The sequence below is a fragment of the Homo sapiens genome, chromosome 6, assembly GCF_000001405.40.
Source record: "Homo sapiens chromosome 6, GRCh38.p14 Primary Assembly".
Taxonomy (NCBI): domain Eukaryota; kingdom Metazoa; phylum Chordata; class Mammalia; order Primates; family Hominidae; genus Homo; species Homo sapiens.
Window position 1 is genome coordinate 7,084,788 of NC_000006.12, and position 19,341 is coordinate 7,104,128.

Sequence of the window (19,341 nt, forward strand, 5' to 3'; positions counted from 1 at the left end):
AAACAACAGCTCTGTGCTTAGAGCCATTTCTCCAGTTTATCCCAAGGTGCTCCTTATCACTGTAGTTTAAGTAAGAACCTTTCTCCGCCTTTCGCAAATCTAGTGTCTTGGTGTGCATTTAGGAAAAAGAGGAATGGCACTTCAGCAGCTTCTCATGTCCAGCCTGGCGTTCCAGCAGCCCTCTTCTTCCCATCCTTAAGGTGCGGCCCACAGGGAGGGTGGGGTTCAGAGCTGTCTGAACAAATCAAGTTCGATTTGTTGGTCTGTTTTAACCACAACACCTTTTAAGAAAATTAAAATCACTATTTCAAGTAGGGACTAAGTCGGTAGAGGGACCCCTCACTGTTGTGATTTCTGGGTGTTGGCAAATGGTACCGCATCATTTCACTGTCCACATGGGGACTTAGGATTGGTTCATTCTAGGACCTTGGGTGATTTAACCTCTCTGAATCTCTTTTCTGTCAATGGGGGCAGACTATCTGCCTCAAAGGGCAATTGCAAGGGTTAAATGAGGTCCCTTGGGCAAACCACTTGACTCAAAATTGAGTCAGGGCTCTCAGCACATGTCAACTTTTATTTGTTTCCAACTTCATAATCCAGATTTATTGAAAATGCAATGTTTTGTTGCTCTGAAATTCACTATAAATGGGTTAAGGAGGGCCGGGCGCCGTGGCCCACGCCTGTAATCCCAGCACTTTGGGAGGCCAAGGAGGGCAGGTCATCTGAGGTCAGGAGTTCGAGACCAGCCTGAACAACAGGGAGAAACCCCGTCTCTACTAAAAATACAAAATTAGCCGGGCGTGGTGGCACATGCCTGTAATCCCAGCTACTTGGGAGGCTGAGGCAGGAATCGCTTGAACCTGGGAGGCGGAGGTTTCAGTGAGCCGAGATCACACCACTGCACTCCAGCCTGGGCAACAAGAGCGAAACTCCATCTCAAAAAAAGAAAAAAAAAAAATAGAATGGGTTAAGGAAACTGGAGGAGACCAGGTCTACAAGGGGTATCCTTAGCTGCTTGGAAGACAGAAAGGAAAGACAACAGAGAGGTAAATAAAAGCAATGCTTCAAGCAACTTGAGATGCCAGAACACCTAGAAAGACCCAAGGCGGATGAAAAGCCCCAAGGGATATGCAAGCCTGGGGGGCCATCTGGGTGGTTTGCATCCTAGCCCGCTGACCTTGGAGGGGCTTTCCTGTCTTTCCCTGATTTCTTTCACTGCTGAAGAGGCTGCCCTCAAAGCCTGGAGCACTTGGCAGGGTTCCAGGGATCTGTACCAATGCCATGCCTCCTGATGACAGAGCAGAGGCTGGTGATGCTAGCTCACAGCCATGTGGCCTTGGCCTTGTCCTGCCTCTCTCTGACAGATGCTAGCATCAGTGGATGCTTTTGAGTTTCACATAGAAGACTGCTGAACTCTCAATTCTTGGGGTCAGGAGGTCTGAATCTAAGTCTCAGCTCTGCTTAGCTTTGCTGCTCTGAGTAGCTTTGGACTTTCAGCAAGTCACACATCAGCTTTCAGAATCCCAATTTCCCAATTTATTAAATGACTGTTAGACTCATTTAATAGGTGGGCTCTGGGTCCTTCCCCCGCTGGCCGGTATGCATTTTGAAGTCACCTCACCAGGCCTCCTTCAAGGCAGCACCACCTTTCAGGGTCAGTACCTAAGGCACAGTCCCTAACTACCAGCACCTCTCAGACTCTGATCTGATTTTGAAAAATTGTAGTTTTGGAAGCCTGATGTCCACAACCATGACCGAGGTTGCTCAAATGACTCTGATGAGTTTCCAGCACACCCTACACCCTGGCTGCACCCACAGCGACCCCGTCAGCCCAGCCTTCCTCAGCTTCCATCTGTGCGCCTGCTCCTCTTCCCCTGCACTATCTGAGAATTAAAGACGCATTCTTAATGAATCTTTCACTTTCAGTGTGTTCTTCCTGAATGAGTCGTAACTTCCATTTTTTTCTAGCTTCGCTCTCTGATCTCAAGGGCCACATCTAACAGAATTCACGTGTTCGATACAAAAAAAAAAAAAAGAACAGGAGGTTTCCACCTCTTTTTATTAATCAGAATGATTTCAGTTTAAATTAAATGTCCCACACAGAATTCCTTTAGAAGACTAGAACTGTTCATTAGAAAGTGAAAGTAGCTGATAATCCTTTTTTAAATATGAGGGGGGAAAAAAACTGGCAAGTCATTTAAACATCTTTCCTCTGGTAACTTACAAAAAATAAGCAAAATACTTTAATTTTGTCACTTTTCTTTTTCCCTCCTTTTGCCCACAATAAAGATGTCATAGAAGCTTTTCCATTCGTGCCGGACTCCTTAGGTTGGAGAAATAATTGGCTTTTCCTGGAGAGAAGGGTAGTGACAGACTGTGTCTGAGGTATTCTCTTGCAAATCCCTGAGGGTACTGAATAACAAAGTCTGTCTAGCTTCCAGTCTGCAACTCTTCTCGCTTTCCTTTGAACAAGGGCAGTAAGTTGCTCTTTTTCTGCCCAGCTCTGGCACTGAAAAAATCCAGTAGGTGGCCAAAGAGCCTTTAGAAGACTAAAGGCAGCTTCAGAGAGCCATTGGACCAGATTTTAAAAAGAAAAGTGTGCTTGTATCTTTGTATTGCAAACAATGCTGGAGGAGCTGAATGGTGCTTCAGACCTTGGGCTTAAAGACAGGTGACTTATTTAGGCCCCTTACAAATGGGCATGTTTGACTACAGCTAAATTAAGTTCTCAAAATAATCCCTGAAACTGGAGCTTAGACTGTTGAAGCAAGTACTCAGGGCAGACGTCTCAGGCGTACTCATTTTCACCTTTCATTTATGACATGGTGTCATCCTTCACAGCTCCACAGAAAAGCTCCTCCAGTGTTCTCTGTGAAACAGGAAAGAACTCTCTATGCACCAGATAAGCCAAACCCCTGGAGTTCCATGGGCTGAGAACTTTGCCCTTCATAAATTACTTCTGTGAAAAGTTCTAAGCTGAGGAGATGGCAATAAAGAAATTGCTCTGCGTTGTTTTATGGTTCCAGCATTCGGTTTCCTGTGGCGTCCCGTGGTCTTTGGTTTGAGTCATGAGAAGAAGCCTGAGAAGCAGGTATCACCCTGCTCTCAGCTAGGTATGTAGAACTGGCTACGGTACTGTGGACATCCCATTTGCCCAGCCACAGCTGTGTGCTGTATCACTGGGATGCTCTGAGTGCAAGGTGCATCTTTGAACGAAATACTAGATGTGACTGGTGCCTTCAGCAGTCATGTGGCAATTTTTAAAAAAGTGTGGTAAAATATAAATTACATACAAATTGAGCATCTTAACAATTTTTAAGTATACAGTTCAGTGGCATTAAGTATATATATGCACAGTGTGATACAACCATCATCACCACCCATTTCCAGAACTTTCTCATCTTCCCAAACTGAAACTCTGTACCCATTAAACACAAACTCCCCATTCCCCACCCCCAGCCCCTGGCAGCTGCCATTCTACTTCCTGTCTTGTTAAATTGGAGTGCTCTGGGTACATCATATAAGTGGAATCACACAATGTTTTTCCTCTTGTGACTGGCTTATTTCACTGAGCTAACGTCTTCAAGGTTCATCCACTTGTAGCATGTGTCAGAATTTCCTTTCTTTTTAGGGCTGAATAATATTGTATTGTATGGATAGGTCACATTTTTTGTTCATCCATTCATCTGTTGATGGACACTTCAGTTGCTTCTCTGCCTTTTGGCTATTGTGAATAGTGCTGCTACGAACATGGGTGTACAGATGTCTCTTCAAGTCCCTGCTTTCAGTTCTTTGGGGTATATATCTAGAAGTGGAATTGCTGAATCATATGGCAATTCTATTTTTAATTTTTGAAGACCTGCCATACTTTCCATAAAGTCTACAGCATGTTACAATCCCACCAGCAGTGTTTAAAGGTTTATATTTCTCTAGAGCCTTGCCAACACTTGCTATTTTCTTTTTTTTTTTTTTTTTATAATAGGCACCTGATAGGTGTGAGGTGGGGTCTCATTTGGCTTTTCTTGCATGCTCCCATACTCTTTTATTATAGATTTATAAGAGTATTAATATCTAATACTCCTTTCTATAGTTCTTCAGGAAAATTTTATTTGCTATTCTCATCTGCTTGTTTTCCTCAGATGTACTTGGGAATTATTTTTGTTATATTTCTCCCTGTACAATATTTTATCCAGTTAGGGTTTTGATTGGAGTTGCATTTAAGATATAAATTAATGTAGAATGAACTTCTTAAAAATAAACTTTTGGTCTTTCTATCTAAATCTTCCTTCATCTCTCTTCTTATATGTAGGTCTAGGTTTGTTGTTTTTCATTTATTCGTTGTAGACAAACCTTCCTGAATTTGTTGCTTTGTGAATGAGGTGTTAAAATTGTATTTTTGTAATGGTTATTGCCTTCCTATAGGAGTGTGTGTGTGTTTGTGTCTGTGAGTATGTGTTGTAACTGTCCACTTTACAGAGCAAAGCAATAAGATATTCAAAAGAACACAGTCTTTGTAGTCAGTCAGACTTGGGTTTGAATCCCAGCTCTGCCACTTACCAGATGCATGACACTGAGAAAACTTTAGTATGGTGTTTTACATACAGGAATTCAATAAATAATGGCTACTACAGTTAGATTTCTCTTTAAATAATTTCCATTAATTTCCTTGAATTTTCTGGTTACACAATGATATAATCTGTAATTAATGATAATATTAACTTTTTCTTTCCAATATTTAAATCTCTCACATCCATTTCATGTCATATTGTATTCACCAGAAAAACTTGTGGGACAATACTCTACAATTATGTGAACATATTCATTCCAGGGGAGTTTTATTCTGATTTTAAAAGGAATGCCTCTAGCTTTTTACCATTAAGTATAATATTGACATAGCTTGAAATTGATACTTTTTATAGGTTAGAGAGTATATTTCAGTTCTTTCTTTTTAAGTGTTTTTAAATTAGAAATCAGTTATCTTGGAAGATTTATACAATTACAACAACTTTATTTGTAAATTATAGTATTAATGTTACCTAAGAAGGAAGAGATGTAGGATCAATCTTATCCTGTCTGTGTGAAGTCTTTATTTTATTTTTTTTTTTGTCACTGACTTCAGGCTCATGAGTGAAGCACTTTTTTTTCTTTTTAGATTGTTCATTATGAAGTGGATTTGTGTGTGTGTGCTTCGCTTTCAGACCCTCATGAATTTTTTTTTCATGTGTGAAGTCTTTATAAGTATTTTTTAGGGATTTGAATATGGAAAGGAAATTAATTTAATTTGCCTGGGGATGGGTTTTAGGTGACATCTTCCTTTTACTGGCCAAACCACCAGTTTCTTTCTGTTATAGAAATTAGTACCTTACTTTTATATCTGGTTTGTGTCCTACAGGCACATTTTTATCTTTGATTCCCATGAATAATTCAACTATGGAATATTTAAGTTTTAAGTCGGGGGGCCCAATCCTTTGGTGTCCCTGAGCCACATCGAAAGATGAAGAATTGTCTTGGGCCATACATAAAATACACTAACACTAACGATAGCTGATGAGCTTAAAAAAAATTGCAAAAAAAAAAAATTCTGATAATGTTTTAAGAAAGTTTACGAATTTGGGGTTTGTTGTTGTTGTTGTTGTTGTTGTTGTTGTTGTTTTGAGACGAGTCTCGCTCTGTTGCCCAGGTTGGAGTGCAGTGGCACCATCTCAGCTCACTGCAACCTCCGCCTCCCGGGTTCAAGTGATTCTTCTGCCTCAGCCTCCCAAGTAGCTGGGATTACAGGTGTTCACCACACACCTGGCTAATTTTTGTATTTTTAGTAGAGATGGGGTTTCATCATGTTGGCCAGGCTGGTCTCGAACTCCTGACCTGAAGTGATCCACCCACCTCGACCTCCCAAAGTGCTGGGATTACAGGCGTGAGCCACGCGCGCCCGGCTGAGTTTACGAATTCATGTTGTGCTTCATTCAAAGCCGTCCTGTGGCATATGGGGCCTGCAGGTCACGGATTGGATAGGTTTGTTTTAAGTAACTCTATAATCTTAAACTAGTTACTCTTCTGGTTAAAGCTTATTAATATTTTAATAATAACTGTTTTCTTGATATAAAAGTAACATATTAGCTGGGTGCGGTGGTGCACACCTGTAATCCTAGCACTTTGGGAGGGCCAAGGCAGGTGAATTGCTTGAGCCCAGGAGTTTGAGACCAGCCTGGGCAACATGGCGAAACCCTATCTATTAAAAAAAAATACAAAAATTAGCCAGGGCTGGAGCAGTGACTCACGCCTGTAATCCCAGCACTTTGGGAGACCGAGGCGGGCGGATCACCTGAGGTCAGGAGATTGAGACCACCCTGACTAACATAGCGAAACCCTGTTTCTACTAAAAATACAAAAATTAGCTGGGTGTGGTGGCACACACCTGTAATCCCAGCTACTCAGGAGGCTGAGGCAGGAGAATTGCTTGAACCCAGGAGGTGGAGGTTGCAGTGAGTCGAAATCATGCCACTGCACTCCAGCCTGGGCGACAGAGTGAGATTCAGCCTCAAAAAAAATTAAACATTAAAATTAAAAAATAAAAACAGCGCATACAGTTATGTAAGATGCTTTTTTTCTCTTACTGTATTTTGAAAATTCCCAATTTCAAATAACCTTACACCTTATGATTGTTAATGGTTAGCATGTCATTTTTCATCATGTGAATACATTTAAATTTATGTTCCAAAACTCTGTTAGTAGACATTTAGCTTGTTTCCAGTTTTTCATGCTGGCAAATAATCTAATGACAATCATTCTTATATAAATAGTATGTATCTCTTTAAGATAGCTTCTAGAATTTTTTCTTCTTAGAAGTTGAGTGGCTGACTGAGTTATACATTTTCATTTTTCATTTATTTATTTATGTATTTATTTGAGACGGAGTGCTGGAGTGCAATGGCGCAATCTCGGCTCACCGCAACCTCTGCTTCCCGGGAAAGCATTTCTCCTGCCTCAGCCTCCCGAGTAGCTGGGATTACAGGCATGCGCCACCACGCCCAACTAATTTTGTATTTTTAGTAGACACGGGGTTTCTCCTTGTTGGTCAGTCTGGTCTCGAACTCCTGACCTCAGGTGATCCACCCACTTCAGCCTCCCGAAGTGCTGGGATTACAGGCGTGAGCCTGGCCGAGTTATGCCTTTTTTTTTTTTTTTTTTTTTTTTTTTTTGAGATGGAGTCTCGCTCTGTCACCCAGGCTGGAGTGCAGCAGCGCGATCTCAGCTCACTGCAAGCTCTGCCTCCCAGGTCCACGCCATTCTCCCACCTCAGCCTCCCGAGTAGCTGGGACTACAGGCACCCGCCACCAAGCCAGGCTAATTTTTTGTATTTTTAGTAGAGACAGGGTTTCACTGTGTTAGCCAGGATGGTCTCGATCTCCTGACCTTTTGATCCGCCCGCCTCAGCCTCCCAAAGTGCTGGGATTACAGGCGTGAGCCACTGCGCCTGGCCGAGTTATACATTTTTAAGAATGTATAATCCTGGTTGGGCATGGTGGCTCACACCTGTAATCCCAGCACATTTGGGAGGCAAAAATTTGATAGAAGAAAAAAAATCTTACTACCTGTTTTAATTTGCATTTCTTTGAGATTGAACATTAAAAAGGTGTTTCTTTCGTATTTATATGTCTTCTTTCATAAATTGTTCCTTCTCATCCTTTGCTCATTTTGCAATTGAGGTGTTATTTTCCATGTTGATTTGTAAGAGTGAGTAGAGCATAATAATTAAGATCAAAAGCATGGAACTCAGAAAGTTTTATGTTGAAATCTCTGTTCTGCTGCTTATTAGTGATGAGACCCTGGGCACATTACTTCATAGCCATTTGGTGTTTGTTTCTTTATTTTCAAAAGTTGAGCTAGGCTGGGTGTGGTGGCTCATGCCTGTAATCCCAGCACTTTGGGAGGCCAAGGCGGGTGAATCGCCTGAGGTCAGGAGTTCAAGATCAGCCTGGCCAACATGGTGATACCCCATCTCTACTAAAAATTCAATAACTAGTGGGGTGTGGTGGTGCGTGCCTGTAATCCCAGCTACCCAGGAGGCTGAGGCAGGAGAATCACTTGAACTCGGGAGGTGGAGGTTGCAGTGAGCTGAGATTGTGCCACTGCACTCCAGCCTGGGCAACAGAGTGAGACTCTATCTCAAAAAAAAAAAAAAAATTGGGCTGGGCTCGGTGGCTCACGCCTGTAATCCCAGCACTTTGGGAGGCTGAGATGGGCGGATCACGCAGTCTGGAGATGGAGACCATCCTGGATAACAGGGTGAAACCCTGTCTCTACTAAAAATACAAAAATTAGCCAGGCATGGTGGTGCACACCTTGTAATCCCAGCTACTCAGTAGGCTGAGGCAGGAGAATCACTTGAACCAGGGAGTCGGAGGTTGCAGTGAGCTGAGATCACGCCACTGGGCGACAGAGTGAGACTTCGTCTCAAGAAGAAAAAAAAAGTGGTACTAATTGTACCTCCTTTATAGGATTATGATGAGATATTTTATGCAAAGTGCTTAGCATGTCTTATACCCAATAAGGGATCAATAAAGTGAAGCTTTTCTTATACTGAGGCTCTTAATTAATTCTGTCTGTAAATATGTTTTTTCCTAGTTTGTAATTTCCATTTTAATTTAACCTGTAGTAGTATGTCTAGAATTATGTAAATGAAAATACATATCTTTTCTTTTGTGGTTTATTTCTTTTTCCTCAAAAACGCTTCCACACCCTCAAAGATCAGATAGATATTTACCTACTTTTGTTCTGGTTCCTTTTTTTTTTTTTTTTTTTTTTTTTTTTAGAAGGAGTCTTACTCTGCCTGCCACCCAGGCTGGAGTGCAGTGGTGTGATCTTGGCTCACTGCAACCTTTGCCTCCTGGATTCAAGTGATTCTCCTGCCTCAGCCTCCCGAGTAGCTGGGATTACAGGCACCCGCCACCACGCCCAGCTAATTTTTGTATTTTTAGTAGAGACGGGGTTTCATCATGTTGGCCAGGCTGGTCTGGAACTCCTGACCTCAGGTGATTCGCCTGCCTCAGCCTCCCAAAGTGCTGGGATTACATGCGTGAGCCACGGTGCCCGGCCTGTTCTGGTTCTTTAATCATTTCATATTTTACATTTAGCTCTTTAATCCACTTGGAGTAACTGTTTTGTTTTTGTGAGAGGGTCTGGCTCTGTCACCCAGACTGGAATGCAGTGGCACAATCTCAGCTCACTGCAGCCTCCATCTCCTGGCTTAAGACATTCTCCCACCTCAGCCTCCTGAGTAGCTGGGACTACAGGTGTGCACCACCATACTTGGCTAATTCTGTGTTGTTGTTGTTGCTGTTGTTGTTGTTGTTGTTGTTGTTGAGATGGAGTCTCACTGTGACATCCAGGCTGGACTGGAGTGCAATGGCCTGATTCTGACTCGCTGAAACCTCTGCCTCCCAGGTTCAAGTGATTCTCCTGCCTCAGCCTCCCAAGTAGCTGGGACTACAGGCATGCACCACCATGCCTGGCTAATTTTTGTATTTTTAGTACAGACATGGTTTCACCATATTGGCCAGGCTGGTCTCGAACTCTTGACCTCAAATGATCCACCCGCCTCTGCCTCCCAAAGTGCTAGGATTGTATCTCTGATAGAGATGGGGTTTTGCCACGTTGCCCAGGCTGGTCTTGAACCCATGAGCTCAAGTAGTCCTCCCGCCTCAGCTTCCCAAAGTGCTGGGATTACAGGAGTGAGCCACCGTGCCTGGCCTGGAGTAAGTTTTTTTGTTTTTTCTTTTATTCTTTTTGAAATGAAGTTTTGCTCTTGTTGCCCAGGCTGGAGTGTAGTGGCATGATCGCAGCTCACTGCAACCTCTGCCTCTCAGGTTCAAGCGATTCTCCTGTCTCAGCCTCCCGAGTAGCTGGGATTACAGGTGCCTGCCACCACGCCTGGCTAATTTTTGGTATTTTTAGTAGAGACAGGGTTTCACTATGTTGGCCAGGCTTGTCTGGAACTCCTGACCTCATGATCTGCCTGTCTCGGCCTCCCAAAGTACTGGGATTACAGGCATGAGCCACTGCACCCAGCCATAAGTTTTAATCTTTAGTGCAAAGTGGGTATTTGGTGTGAATTTTTTTCCTCTAAAATTGTTCCACATATATTGACTAATTTTATTCTTTCCCCCACTGATATGAAGTGCATTTTACCATACACCAAACGCTTCTAGGTTTTCTGTTTGATCCCATTGCTCCATCTGTTGTTGCACCAGCACTGTACCCTAGTATATGGTATGTGTACAATATGTACATTCTAGACTTATCACAGGATTAATATCTGGAAGCATTCATCCCCTCTCCCCTCAACACCATCTATTGTTCTCAGAATTTACGGACTTGGATTACAGCCTGATCAGGATTTAAATTTTTCTGTCATTCCATACAGTGCACAGAAAGAACCTGGGCTGTAGACTCAGAGGACTTGGATTCCAATCCTGGCTCCACCACTTAGCAGCTGTTTAAATTGTGCATGTTATTCTCTGTAAACCTCGGGTTCTTTATTGAAATAATCCTGTGAAAATCAGCACTTAACCCAAGTTCCTCTGAAATAATGGGACCAAATCGACAAACCATGGAGTCACATCACTCAGGTTTACATATTTCTGCAAAATAAGCCATTGTTGGCCGGGCGCAGTGGCTCATGCCTGTAATCCCAGCACTTTAGGAGGCCAAGGTGGGTGGCTCCTTGAGCTCACCTTGAGCTCAGGAGTTTAAGACCAGCCTGGGCAACATAGTGAAACCCTGTCTCTACCAAAAATACAAAAAATTAACCTGTTGTGGTGGCACGTACCTGTAGTCCCAACTACTTGGGAGGCTGAGGCAGGAGAATTGCTTGAACCCAGGAGGCGGATGTTGCAGTGAGCTGAGATCATGCCACTGCACTCCAGCCTGGGCAATAGAGTAAGACTTGGTCTCAAAAAAAAAAAAAAAAAAAAGGCAATTTGATGTAACCTTAACACTTTTATTGGTTTAAAGTACATGTATTTGATTGCAAAATATGACTATTAAGCAGCTCATTTTCTTTTTCTTCCTTTTTTTTTTCTTTTGTATAAATGTAGGGGGTACATACAAGTGCAGTTTTGATATAGGGAAATATTGCATAGTGGTGAACTCTGGGCTTTTAGTGTAACCATTGCCCAAATAGTGTACATTGTATCCATTAAGGAATTTCTCATTCCTCACTCCCCTCCCACCCTTCTGGGTCTCCAGTATCTATTATTCCACACTTTACGTTTGTGTATACACATTATTTAGCTTCTGCTTATAAGTGAGAACAAAACATCTAATTTAAAAATATATAATATGAAGGGCTGGTGCAGTGGTTCATGCCTGTAATCCAAGCACTTTGGGAGGCCAAGGTGGGAGGATCACTTGAGGCTAGGAGTTTGAGATCAGCCTGGGCAATATAGCGAGACCCCTTCTCTATAAAAAATTTAAAAATTAGCCAGATGTAGTGGTGCATGCCTGTATTCCTAGCTACTTGGGAGACTGAGGCAGGAGGATTGCTTGAGTCCAGGCATTTGAGGCTGTAGCTGGCTATGATCAGGCTACTGCACTACAGCCTGTGTGACAGAGTGGAACCCCATCTCTGAAAAAAATATATATGCACAAACATATTTTGCATATATATGTACATATATTAGATATATACATATGTATACACATTATATGTGTGCATGTTGCATACATGTATCTTTCACATGCATACATATTTTATATATGTATTATAATACACTATAATACATCTACATGTATATACAAGGTGTATGTATTTGTATGCTTATGTACGTAGTATATATACAATTATGTACATAGTATATATACATATTATATATATACACTAAAAAAGTATATATACATATTATATATATACACTAAAAAAGTGTATATACGATACTTTTTTTTTGTTTTTTGTTTTTGAGATGGGGTCTCGCTCTGTCACCAGGCTGGAGTGCAGTGGTGATCTCTGCTCGCTGCAACTTCTGCCTTCTGGCTCAAGTGATTCTCCTGCCTCAGCCTCCCAAGTAGCTGGGACTACAGGCATGTGCCACCGCACCCAGCTAATTTTTGTATTTTTAGTAGAGACAGGGTTTCACCATGTTGGCCAGGATGGTCTCGATCTCTTGACCTCCTGATCTGCCCGCCTCGGCCTCCCCAAAGTACTAGGATTACAGGCATGAGCTGCCATGCCCAGCCTTACAATACTTTGTATACTATATACACTATAAAAAAAGTATATATACAATACTATGTATACTATATCTGCATCCTGCCTGGCCAAACAGCTGAGATTTTATTTCTTCACAGTTCTGGGGGCTGGAAGTCCAAAATCAAGGTGTGGACAGGGTTGTCCATCTCCTGAGGCCTCTCTTTTTGGCTTGCAGATGGTTGTCTTCTGTGCCCTTATGTGGTCGTCCCTTTTTTATTTATTGATTTATTTATTTTTTTGAGATGGAGTCTCACACTGTCACCTGGGCTAGAGTGCAGTGGCACGATCTCAGCTCGCTGCAACCTCCGCTTCCCGGGTTCAAGCGATTCTCCTGCCTCAGCCTCCCGATTAGCTGGGATTACAGGCACACACTGCCACACCCAGCTAATTTTTTGTATTTTTAGTAGAGACAGGGTTTCACCGTGTTAGCCAGGATGGTCTCGATCTCCTGACCTCGTGATCTGCTCCTCGTGGCCTCCCAAATCACGCCTGGGATTACAGGCATGAGCCACCGCGCCTGGCCGTCCCTTATTTTTGTATCTGTGTCCTCATCTCCTCTGATAAGGAGACCACATTGAATCAGGGCCCACCCTAAAGACTTCATTTTACCTTAATCCCCTCTTTAAAAGCCCTTTCTTGGCCAGGCGCAGTGGCTCACACCTGTAATCCTAGCACTTTGGGAGGCCCAAGTGGGTGGATCACCTGAAGTCAGGAGTTCAAGACCAGCCTGTCCAACATGGTGAAACCCTAGCTGGGCATGGTGGTGGGGACCTGTAATCCCAGCTACTCAGGAGGCTGAGGCAGGAGAATCACTTGAACCTGGGAGGTGAAGGTTGCAGTGAGCCGAGATCATACCACTGCACTCCAGCCTGGGCGACGAAGCAAGACTCCGTCTCAATCAATCAATCAATCAATAAAGGCCCTCTCTCTAACTACAGTCACTTTCTGAGGTCCTGGGGTTTAGAACTTCAACATATGGGTTTTGGGGAACACTTCAGCCCATCACACCTACGGTAAAGCCGGGGTCATCTGTTGATTACCTGCCTCTTCCCCTCTTCTAATCTCTAAGACACACCTCCTTCACAAAAGCCTAAGTAGCTGCTCCATACTTTTCCTCTCACCCCCTCCGCTTCCTCATTTTTGGAGACAAGACCATCTCTGTCAGGGACCAAGTCCTATTCAGGCTTCATATCTGCTCCACCTCCCAGAAAGCCCAGTGATTGGGATTTCTGCTCCATCTTAGAGTCATTGGCATCTGCCCCTCAAGGGCTCTGACCCTGTGTCTCCCACCCTCACCCCTCCTGCTTTCCCTGCACCTGCTTCACCCCCCTGCCACCCCTCCAGCCACTAAGCCTGCCTCCTTCCACATCTTCAGGCCCCCTCGACCACTCCCAGTTCTCAAGGTCTCAGCCCCTTCCCGCCTTATCCTCCTGGCTCCATTTGGACCTGGGCATGCCCACGTTGGCACCCAATCACATCCAGAAACCTCTGGACATCTTCTGTGGCTCTTCTGGACACTTTTGTGTCTGCCTTGCTGATTTGAATTTCCAGCTGCCAGTCATCATTCCCACTGTAAGTTTCCTCCCCTCTGGGGTGCCCATAGCATTGAAAGGAAGCTGAAACAGCTGGTCTTCCACCACCAGTTCCTGCCTTCTTCTCTCCTTACCCTCAGCCCCGGGCCCCACCCCTACTCTCCTCAATGCTGCCGTACCCAGTCAAGGCCGGCAGATACCTTTTCCCACTCACATATTTCTCAGTGTGTTCCTACTATTCTTTCCCCCTTCTCTCTCATCTTAGAAGATGAAGTATTCCTCTTTTCCTTCCTAGGCTGATCTCTGCCTTTCCTCCTGTGCCATAGACTCTCTCTCACCTCCCTTCCAACGTTGTTTCATACATCTCTATACGCTCCCTCTCTGGGTCTGCATTCCTTTCCTGTTGACATAAATTGTTTGGGTGGTTTAACCCTTCTAAAACCCCTTCTCCACATTCTAATACTCACAGAGATAATTTTTTTTAAGAGATGGGGTCTTGCTATGTTGTTGCCCAGGCTGGTCTTAAACTCCTGGGCTCAGAGATCTTTCTGCCTCACCTTCCTAAGTAGCTGGGATTATAGGTGTGCACTACCACACCCAGCTCCTAGAGATAATTTCCAAGGCACTGTGGAGCAGGGCTTCTCAACCCCGACACTATTAACCTTTGCGACCAGATAATTCTTTGCTGTGGAGGGCTTTCCCTATGCAGTGTAGGATGTTAAGCAGCATCCCTGGCCTCTACTCACTAAATGCCATTTGCACATTTCCCCCAGCTTGTGACAGCCAAAAAATGTCTCCAGACATTGCCAAACATACCCTAGGGTTCAGAATCACCTGGTTGAGAACCACTGGTGTAGACACTGAAAATGTGGACTCTACTGTGCTAGTTCATCTTTAGCCTTTTGCTATGCTAGGCATGTTGGAATCTACAAAATACCCAGCTACAGCTTCGGAATTTATTCTGCACATATGGAACGTAATACTTGGAGAACAGAAAGAGATTTGTACCTTATGTTCATGTGAGGGAGGGGTGATTATAAACCAAATTAGCAATACTTAAAAATGTGCACTTAACTTATCCTTCTAATTAAATCCTTGTAAAACAACTGCACAGACAACAATGGCCCTACTGCAAAACTCCAATCAAGAGGGTTTTATTGAGATTAGTCAAGACAATTAAGTAGGTTTTTTTTTTTTTTTTTTTTTTTGAGATGGAGTCTCACTCTGTCGCCCAGGCTGGAGTGCAATGGCACAATCTTGGCCCACTGCAACCTCCGCCTCCCGGGTTCAAGCAATTCTCCTGCCTCAGCCTCCCGAGTCACTGGGATTACAGGCGCATGCCACCATGCCCAGCTAATTTTTGTGGTAGATATTTTTTAAATTAGTAAACTATTTAATTCTTAATAGGCTAACAACAGCAACCATGACAGTGACAATAAAAAAGTGTGGGCTCCAGGGTCAGGCTGCCTGGTTTGCCTCTCAGTGCTACCCCTTCCCAGCTGGGAGATGTTGGGCAGTTGAGGAAGCTCTCTGCTTCAGTTTCATCAGCTGCAAAATGGGGGTGGTAATGGCACCCACCTGAGTGAGGGTGGAGGGCACAGAGCCAGACTATACAGAGGAGGCCCTGGAGCGGGGCCTGGGCAGAGCCAGCCCTTCAATAAATGCTAACTGTTAATGGTCATTGCTATTGTTATTTTTCTTTCTTTCCCTTCCTTTCTCACCTAAGTTCACGCCAGAGCACAGGGCCTTCACTTCCTCTTCTTCTACTCACTGTTTAACCCCTTGCTTTCTGGCCCCTGCCTACCATACTCACATGAACTCACTTTCTCAGCTCTCAGCCTTTGTTTCTGCCACTTGCCTTGGTTTCTCTTTGTTTGTTTGCTTTTTGCATAAGTTTAAGGGGTATAGGTGCAGTTTTGGTACATGGATATATTGCACAGTGGTGAAGTGTGGCCTTTTAGTGTAACCATCACCCGCATGATGTACATTGTACCATTAAGTACTCTTACCCCCTGCCACCCTCTCACCCCTCCAAGTCTCCAGCATCTATTATCCCACATTCTGTGTGGTTTCTCTGTGTTTTAACACTGTGGGCCACCTTTTCCCTTAGCTGTTCTGCTTCTTTAGAGGCAAAAGAGAAGGAGCTCTTACCACTCCCTCTTCTTTTTCCACTGAATTGCAGCCATTTCCTTGGGTCCTGCCCTAGCCTGTCATTGTCCATGGTCTCTTTACCTAGACGTGTCTTTAGGCCTCCCTCCTGAGTTCCCCTCCTCTCCAATTCCACAAGTCGCACCCCCATCCACGACTCATGCCGCTGGTGAATGGACACACCCTCTATCCAGTTATCTAAGGCCAAGCCCAGAGAATCGGCCTTCTTAACTCCATGACTTCTCACTCCACAACCAACGGGGACCAAGCCTTGCGGATCTGTCCCCTTGACATCTCCTGTCTCTGGTCCTTCCTGCACTGCCACGGGTCACGCTAACTGCTGCGGCAGTTTCACCTCTTTTGTTGCCACACACCCTGGTCAGTGCTCCAGAAGGATTGTTTCCTTTCCTCTCACAGTCAGTTGGTCAAGTTCTGTTGATTCTATGGCCTAATTATGTCCCAGATGAATCCATTCCTCTCCACCTCTACAGCCAGTGCCTCTTCCACCCCTACAGCCAGTGCCTCCCTAGGTCTTTATTCTTGCTTAACTAAATTCTTCTATTACTATTAATTCCTAACTCCCCCTCCTGCCTTGTCCTGCCATCCTTCAGACCATCCTCCACGGTACCCTCCTCCGTGAGCCCTTTCACGGCCTGACTGCTGGATAACGTCCAAGTCCGCTGTGCATAGCGCTCTTGGCGATCTGGCCCACTGGCTACTCCTACAGCCCCATCTCTGGCTGCCTCCCCTCCTCCCTCTGCTGCTCCAGCTCCAGAGGGTGGTATTTGCAGTTCAGGAAACTGACCTTGTTTTACGCCTCTGTGCCCTTGTGCTTGCAGCTCCCTGCCCACTCTGGCTGGAGTGCCCTGCCCCCTCCTCTCTGCCTGGGGACACCTACACAGCTGTGAGACCTCATCCAAGTGGCCTTCTCCAGCATCCACACCTTTTTTCTTCATGATCCTCTTCCACAGCTTAGCTCTGTTGTCCATTTATTTCTACCTCCAGGCTCAATATCACCTACTCTGTCACCTTCCACCTCAAATGGGTTCCCCTTCTCCCTGACTTTCTCATTTTTGTCCTTCTGTCAGCTACCTAGCTAAGACCCAGGCATCATCTTGGCCCTGATTTCTGCACCTTACCCCCCATCCCTCGTTCCCCCTCCATTATGGGTCCACCGCTTGCTTCTCTGTGAGTTCTTCCTCTGAAGTGCTTCTTGACCTCCTCTACCCTCACCCTAGTTCAGGCCCTTGATACCTAAGCTTTTCCACAGCCAATATTCAGAAGTTTTCGTGGGACAGGCTCAGCTTATTTACCTTTTAGTCTCATCACCCATCTATTCCTGTAAATGTTATATTCAGCCAAGCTGTAATCCTTACTGGTCTCCGAGTGGGACCCATAATTTGTTACAATCGTGCTCTTGTATCTGCTGCTGTTTTTAATTCCCAATCTTCATCTACTGAATTTCTAGTCATTCTCCATGGCCCAAATCCATTACTTTCTCTTCCATGAAGCTTTCCCTGATCACTCTTCTTAGAATTGATCTTGGCTAGGGGCAGTGGCTCACACCTGTAATCCCAGCACTTTGGGAAGCAGAGGTGGGCAGGAGTTCAAGACCAGCCTGACCAACCTGGAGAAACCCTGTCTCTACTAAAAATACAAAATTAGCTGGGCATGGTGGCGCATGCCTGTAATCCCAGCTACTCAGGAGGCTGAGGCAGGAGGATCGCTTGAACCCGAAAGGCAGAGGTTGCAGTGAGCCGAGATCGCACCATTGCACTCCAGCCTGGGCAACAAGAGCGAAACTCAAAAAGAAAAAAAGAAAAAAGATCAGCCTGGCCAACATGGTGAAACCCCATCTCTACAAAAATACAAAAATTAGCCAGGCATGATGATGGGCGCCTGTAATCCAAGCCACTCAGGAGGCTGAGGCGGTAGAATAGCTTGAACCCAGAAGGCAGAGGTTGCAGTGAGCCGAGATTGCGCCATTGCACTCTAGCCTGGGCAACAGAGTGAGACTCTGTCTCAAAAAAAAAAAAAAGAAAGAAAGAAACAAGGAAAAGAAAAGAAAAAAAGAAGTGATTTCTGCTGGGCACAGTGGCTCACACCTGTAATCCCGGCACTTTGGGAGGCCAAGGCGGGAGGATCACTTGAGGTCAGGAGTTCGAGACCAACTTGGTCAACATGGTAAACCCCATCTGTACTAAAAATACAAAAATTAGCTGGGCATGGTGGTGGGTACCTGTAATCCCAGCTACTTAGGAGGCTGAGGCAGGAGAATTGCTTGAACCCGGGAGGCAAAGGTTGCAGTGAGCTGATATTGCACCACTGCACTCTAGCCTGGGCAACAGAGTGAGACTATGTCTCAAAAAAATAAAAAGAAAAAAAAAGAAGTGATCTCTTTGCTCTGAACTCCTGGATTTTGTATGTATTTAATTTTTTTTATTATATGTTAGATTACGTCTCAAAAAAAGTGATCTCTTTGCTCTGAACTGAATTTGGTATGTATTTAATGTTTTTTATTATATGTTTTATGTTATATTATATATTATATATATTAATATATATTATATGTTAATTAACATATAATATATAATATTATATGTTAATTAACATATAATATATAATATTATATGTTAATTAACATATAATATATAATATTATATATAATATAATATATATAATATATAATATTATATATAATATAATATATATAATATAATATATAATATATTATTTTATTTCATGATTACATCATGAGGATGCAGAGATCAGATTGCAAGCTCTTTTAAGGCACAGATTATAAATTACCCATTTTTGTATCAGTTCTCCACTACAGAACCCAGCACAATTCCATATATGTCTATACAGCTCAGCTTTATTGGGATATAACTCACATACCATACAATTCACCCATTTAAAATGTACAATTCAATGGATTTTTAGTATATTTAGAGTTGTGTACCCTAACCACAATCAATTTTAAAACACTTTAATTTTAATTAATTTTAATTTTTTTGAGACAGGGTCTCACTCTGTCGCTGAGTCTGGAATGCAGTGGCACAAGCATAGCTCACTGCACCCTTGATCTACCAAGCTCAAGTGATTTTCCAGCCTCAGACTCCCAAGTAGCTGGGACTATAAGCATATGCCACCATGTCTGGCTAAGTTTTTAATTTTTTTTAATTTTTCCTTGAGATGGTGTTGTGTTCTGTCGCCAGGCTGGAGTGCAGTGGTGCGATCCTGGCTCACTGCTATCTCCACCTCTGCCTCTTGGGTTCAAGGGATTCCCCTGCCTCATCTTCCCCAGTAGCTGGGACTACAGGCACACACCACTATGCCCAACTAATTTTTTTTTGTATTTTAGTAGAGACGAGGTTTCACCATGTTGGCCAGGATGTTTTTTTTTTTCTTTTT

General features: G+C 43.8%; 2 annotated features.

The window, feature by feature from the left end:
- Positions 1,276-1,365: an enhancer, noted in NCBI's record as "active region_23934". NCBI's record gives its function as "activates an Ori minimal core promoter by ATAC-STARR-seq in GM12878 lymphoblastoid cells {active_cell/tissue: GM12878}" and the evidence as "EXISTENCE:reporter gene assay evidence [ECO:0000049][PMID:35858748]".
- Positions 3,143-3,212: a silencer, noted in NCBI's record as "silent region_16881". NCBI's record gives its function as "represses an Ori minimal core promoter by ATAC-STARR-seq in GM12878 lymphoblastoid cells {active_cell/tissue: GM12878}" and the evidence as "EXISTENCE:reporter gene assay evidence [ECO:0000049][PMID:35858748]".